Source organism: Homo sapiens, chromosome 19, assembly GCF_000001405.40.
Source record: "Homo sapiens chromosome 19, GRCh38.p14 Primary Assembly".
Classification (NCBI taxonomy): Eukaryota; Metazoa; Chordata; class Mammalia; order Primates; family Hominidae; genus Homo; species Homo sapiens.
Window position 1 is genome coordinate 4,271,846 of NC_000019.10, and position 6,556 is coordinate 4,278,401.

The window sequence follows — 6,556 nt, forward strand, 5'->3', positions numbered from 1 at the left end:
CCCACCACTTTCACAGGCCGAGGCGGGCGGATCACTTGAGGTCATGAGTTCAAGACCAGCCTGGCCAACATGGCAAAACCCTGTCACTACAAAAAAGTACAAAAATTAGTTGGGCATGGTGGTACATGCCTGTAATTCCAGCTACTTGGGAGGCTGAGACAGGAGAATCACTTGAACCCAGGAGGCAGAGGTTGCAGTGAGCCAAGATTGCACCACTGCACTCCAGCCAGGGGGACAGAGCGAGACTCCCGTCTCAAAGAAAAAAAAAAAAAAAAGACACAGGCCCAGGCTGGGGTGTCATCTGAAGGCTCAACTGGGGAAGGACCTGCTGCCAAACCTTTGTGGTTGTTGACAGAATTCAGTCCCTCATGGCTGTTGGCCAGAAAACACTCTCAGTTTCTTACCTACACAGACCTTGTCTGCAGCTTGTGTCTTTGTCCATTTGCTGCTGCTTTCACAGAACACCACAGACTGGGTAAATTATAAACAGTAGAAGTTTATTCGGGCCGGGCGCAGCGGTTCACACCTGTAATCCCAGCACTTTCAGAGGCTGAGGTAGGTGTATCACCTGAGGTCAGGAGTTTGAGACCAGCCTGCCCAACATGGTGAAACTCTGTCTCTACTAAAAATACAAAAATTAGCCGGGCATGGGGCAGGTGCCTGTAATCCCAGCTACTCCAGAGGCCGAGGCAGGAGAATAACTTGAACCCGGGAGGCAGAGGTTGCAGTGAGCCAAGATTATGCCATTGCACTCCATCCAGCTTGGACAACAGAGTGAGACTCCATCTCAAAAAAATTGGTGCACCCCAGCACCCCAAAACCAGCTGGCACATCGTGGGTGCTCGCAAATGGGTTGAGGGGGCATCACCCCATTCCCCAATGAGGAAACAGGCTCAGGGAGCCCCAGGTTTCACCTCCTCCCCTCTCACACCCCACTCTTTCATACACCACTGGAATTTTATTTTTATTTCTTTTTTTTTTCCCCTGAGAAGCTTTGTTCTCTCACCCTGTGTCCTGGGGGCAATTCTGCTCTCAGCCCCCAGTTCTCTCCTGGGGGTTCCCAGGACTGAGGGAGTAGAGGGGCAGGCACAGCCATGCATCGGGCTCTGTCCCTCCTGACCAGCGGGGGACCCCTCCCTGCCCTGCCCCACCTCTCAGGGCCCCCTACCCTCACCCTCTGAAGCCTGCCCTTCCCCTATCCCTGCCGACAGTACCCGTTCCCCACCAGCCCGCGTCTGTCATCCTGTCTTCGGGAGCTGTCAGCCTTCATCTGAGATCTCCATCAACTCCTCCGGGGCTGCCTGGCTGCTGGAGCACATCAGAGGGATGGGGAGGAGGGGCGATGGGGGCCCCTTCTGCTGGAGCCCACTGCCGCCCCAGCCTGGGCTTACAGGAGAAGAGGGGCCATGCCATTTCCCCAGCTTTTGCCAGTTCCAGTGTGAACTTGGGGCTCCCTGAGCCTGTTTCCTTATCTGGGAATGGGGTGACACCACCCACTCAGTCCACAAACACCCCCCGGGCACACGCTCTGTTGCTGCCCCATTTACAGGTAAGGGAGACTCCTCGACCTCCAGGGTGAGGGAGGGACAGGGCCTGGGTATGAAGCTCCAGGCTCCGAGGCTACGCCTTTGGTCACCCACCCCACTGCAACCCCAAGAGCTGGGCTGTGCCTGCGTGTCAGACTGGAGCCCTGGAAGGGCTGGATCATGCCTCCCCCATCAGGTAGGGGCCCCTAGAAGGAAGGCTCGCTTCTCCTCCAGCAGACTGGGACCTTGTAAGTTAGTTAGGGCCATGCCTCCTGTGTTGGACTGGGCCCTTGAAATTTACACCATACCTCCCCCATCAGACTGGGGACGCTTGAAGTTTGGACTATGCCTCCCTCATCAGACTGGGGACTCTTGAAGGCAGGCCTATGTCTCCTCCATTACTCTGGGACCCTGGAAGTCAAGACTATGTCTCCTGCATTAGACAGGGGACCGTTGAAGGTTGAACCTGCCTCCCCCATCAGACTGAAGATAGGTTCACGTCTCCTTCCTCAGAGTGGGAACCCCTCAAGGTAGGGCCATATCTCTCCCATCAAATGGAAGCTCCTGAAGTCAGAGCCGCAACTCTTCCATCAGACTGGGGGCTTCTGTGGACAAGGCCATGCCTCTGCCATCAGACCGTGAGTTAAGAAAGGCAGAGCTGGCCAGGTGCAGTGGCTCACGCCTGTAATCCCAGCACTTTGGGAGGCCGAGGCGGGCGGATCACGAGATCAGGAGATCGAGACCATCCTGGCTAACACAATGAAGCCAAGATTGCGCCACTGCACTCCAGCTTGGACGACAGAGCGAAACTCTGTCTCAAAAAAAAAAAAAAAAAAAAGACAGAGCTGGCTAGGCACAGTGGCTCATGCCTGTAATCCCAGCACTTTGGGAGGCCAAGGCGGGCGGATCACAAGGTCAGGAGTTCAACACCAGCCTGGCCAACATGGTGAAACCCCGTCTCTACTAAAAGTACAAAACTTAGCCAGGCATGGTGGCATGCACCTGTAATCCCAGCTACTCCAGAGACTGAGGCAGGAGAATCGCTTGAAACAGGAAGCGGGAGGTTGCAGTGAGCCAAGGTCATGCCACTGCACTCCAGCCTGGGCAACAAGAGTGAAACTCCATCTCAAAAAAAAAAAAGGCAGAGCTGGCCAGGCGCAGTGGCTCACGCCTGTCATCCCAGCACTTTGGGAGGCCAAGGCTGGCATATCACCGGAGGTCAGGAGTTCAAGACCAGCCTGGCCAATGTGGTGAAATCCTGTCTCTACTAAAAATAAAAAATTAGCTAAGTGCAGTGGCACACACCTGTAGTCCCAGCTACTTGGGAGGCTAAGGCAGGAGAATCGCTTGAACCCAGGAGGCGGAAGTTGCAGTGGGCCAAGATTGTGCCACTGCACTCTAGCCTAGGCAACAGAGTGAGACTCTGTCTCAAAAAAAAAAAATAAAGATGGCTGGGTGCAGTGGCTCTCACCTGTAATCCCAAAGCTTTGGGAGACCGAGGCAGGAGGATCACTTGAGGCCAGGAATTCAAGACCAGCCTGGGCAACATTGCAAGATCCCAATTCTAGAAAAAAAGATTTTTTTTTTTCCAAGATGGAGTCTCACTCTATTGCCCACGCTGGAGTGCAGTGGCACGATCTCGGCTCACTGCAACCTCTGCCTCTCAGGTTCAAGCGATTCTCCTATCTCTGCCTCCTGAGTAGGTGGGATTACAATGTGCCTGCCACCAAGCCTGGCTAATTTTTGTATTTTTAGTAGAGACGGGGTTTCACCATGTTGGGCAGGATGGTCTCGAACTCCTGACCTCAGGTGATCCACCCGACTCAGCCTCTGCAAGTGGCGGGATTACAGGTGTGAGCCACCACACCCAGCCCTCTAGAAGAATTTTAAAAATTAAAAAACACAGGCCTGGCCAGGTGCGGTGGCTCACGCCTGTAATCCCAGCACTTTGGAAGGCCGAGGCGGGTGGATCATGAGGTCAAGAGATCGAGACCATCCTGGCCAACATGGTGAAACCCTGTCTCCACTAAAAATACAAAAATCAGCTGGGCGTGGTGGCACATGCCTGTAGTCCCAGTTACTCGGGAGGCTGAGGCAGGAGAATCACTTGAACTCGGGAGGCGGGGGTTGCAGTGAGCTGAGATCGTGCCATTGCACTCCAGCCTGGTGACAGAGCAAGCTCCGTCTCAAAAAAACAAACAAACAAACAACAACAACAACAAAAAACACAGGCCCCAGAATGGACGCAGCTTGAGGACATCACGCTCAGTGAGAAACACCAGACACAGAAGGCCACAAAGTGTGTGATCCCATTTCTATGAAATGTCCAGGACAGGCCCATCCACAGAGGCAGGAAGTGGATTTGTGTTTACCAGGAGCTGGGGATTTGGAGAGATGGGGAGTGACAGCTAATTGGGTATGAGGTTTCTTTTGGAGGTGACGAAAATGTTCAGGAATTAGGGGTGATGGTCGCACAACCTTGTGGACACAGGAGAAACCACTGAATTGTACACTCTAAATGGGTGAACTGTAGGATATGTAAGTTATGTTTTTTGTTTTTTTGAGATGGAGTCTCGCTCTGTTGCCCAGGCTGGAGTGCAGTGGCTCAATCTTGGCTCACTGCAACCTCTGCCTCCCGAGTTCAGGTGATTCTCCTGCCTCAGCCTCCCGAGTAGCTGGGATTACAGGTGCCCGCCACCACGCCTGGCTAATTTTTGTATTTTTAGTAGAGACGGGGTTTTACCATGTTGGCCAGGCTGGTCTCGAGCTCCTGACCTCAGGTCATCTGCCCACCTCAGCCTCCCAAAGTGCTGGGATTATAGGTGTGAGTCACTGCACCCAGCCAATGTGAATTGTATCTTTAAAAAAAAAAAAAGCAACAAGGCCGTGTATGGCAGCTCACTCCTGTAATCTCAGCACTTTGGGGGCGCCAAGGTGGGCGGATCACGAGGTCAGGAGTTTGAGAGCACCCTGGCCAACATGGTGGAACACCATCTCTACTAAAAATATAAAAATTAGCTGGGTGTGGTGGCGGGCGTCTGTAATCCCAGTTACTTGGGAGGCTGCGGCAGGAGAATCGCTTGAACCTGGGAGGCGGAGCTTGCGGTGAGCCGAAATTGTGCCACTGCACTTTAGCCTGGGCGACAGAGCAAGACTCGGCCTCAAAAAAAAAAAGCGGCCGGACTCGGTGGCTCACGCCTGTAATCCCAGCACTTTGGGAGGCTGAGGCGGGAGGATCACAAGGTCAGGAGATCGAGACCATCCTGGCTAACAGTGAAACCCCATCTCTACTAAAAATACAAAAAAGTAGCCGGGCATGGTGGCGGGTGCCTGTAGTCCCAGCTACTCGGGAGGCTGAGGCAGGAGAATGGTGTGAACCCGGGAGGCGGAGCTTGCAGTGAGCCGAGATCGCACCACTGCACTCCAGGCCCGGGCAACAAAGTGAGACTCTGCGTAAGAAAAAAAAAAAAGCAAAAAAAAAGCCGGGTTTTGTGGTATGCACCTGTGGTCCTAGCTACCAGGAGGCTGAGATGGGAGGATCATTTGAGCCCAGGATGTTGAATGTGAGGCTGCAGTGAGCTGTGATTGCATCTCCAGCCTGGGCAACAGAGCGAGAGACCCTGTCTCAAAAAAAAAAAAAAAAGGGAGAAAAGAAAAATCCAAATCTCACAAGGTTACGTGGCTGATTCAAGGTCACAGGGGAAGGTGACTGGACCCCTAGCCTGGATCTCTTTCTCTTCTACCTAATCCTCCTGCCTCTCCCTGCCAGCCTCTCCCCACTCCCCTCCTTGGGGTAGGGTCGGGGTGCAGCCCCAGGAGAAGCCAGCTCCAAAGCACAGGAAAGTCAAATGCCGTTTGATTCCGGCCCCGGGGCCTCTAATTGCTATTCCTGACACAGATTGTAATTAGAAGGCCCCTTTCAAATATTTATACCTCAGACATCTAGTTTTATCCGGCAGGGAGACGACTTGGATTTGATGAGATCTGTCAACAGCTCATCCCCGTGGCCCGGAATTGCCTTGCGGCTGACAGAAAGCAGGACAATTACCCGCTGTGCTCCCTGGCCGCCCCCAGGGACGCAGCCTTGTCGCTGATCTGAAAGGGTGGGGGGAAGCGGGGGTGGCCATGCACTTCAGGAGGGAGGAAGGAGTTCAACAGGTCTGTGTTGGGGGACACAGCCAGTGCAGGGAAGGGGAGGAACAGAAGGGTCTAGACGCCTGCATCCTTCAGGGGCTTTGCCTTGTTGGCTCCAGGCCTCAGTTTTCCCATCTGGATAATGGAGCTCATCGTGGAGAGGAGTTGCAGAACCGATTCCATGAAGAGCATTTTGGGAGGCCGAGGCCGGCAGATCACCTGAGGTCAGGAGTTCCAGACCAGCCTGGCCAATGTGGTGAAACCCCATCTCTACTAAAAATATAAAATTATATAAAAATTAGCTGGGCGTGGTGGCAGTAATCCCAGCTACTCAGGAGGCTGAGGCAGGAGAATTGGTTGGACCTGGGAGGTGGAGGTTTCAGTGAGCTGAGATCGCAACACGGCACTCCAGCCTGGAGGACAGAGCAAGGCTCCGTCTCAAAAAAATAAAAAGAGAGACTCCAGTGCCACCCTAGGCCAGGCCCCACGGCGATGTGCAGGCAGAATCAGCTGTGGAGTGGCTCTGAACAAGTCCCTCCCATCTCTGTGCCTCGGTTTCCCCATCCATAAAATGAGGAAGCCAGGTGATAGCTCGGTCCCTCCTGGAATCCTTCCTAGAGCTGTCTGGGATTTCCTGTTAGAAACCACATCTTTCAAATAAGGAAAACCAAGACTCAGGGAGTGACAGACCCTGCCCTCAGCCCCGCCGGGCTGCCAGGAGGCCCCAGTCATAGCAGTGTTGGTTCTGACTTCTGTCTTGTCCTCCAACTGTGCTCTCCAAGCTATGACCTGTGCCTGACCAGGGGGCTGGCCACAAGAGGAGAGAATCTGGGGTCCCATCCTTCCTGACCACCCCTCTCTCACTCCCCTCATTAGGAGGAACTGGGCAAGCCCCC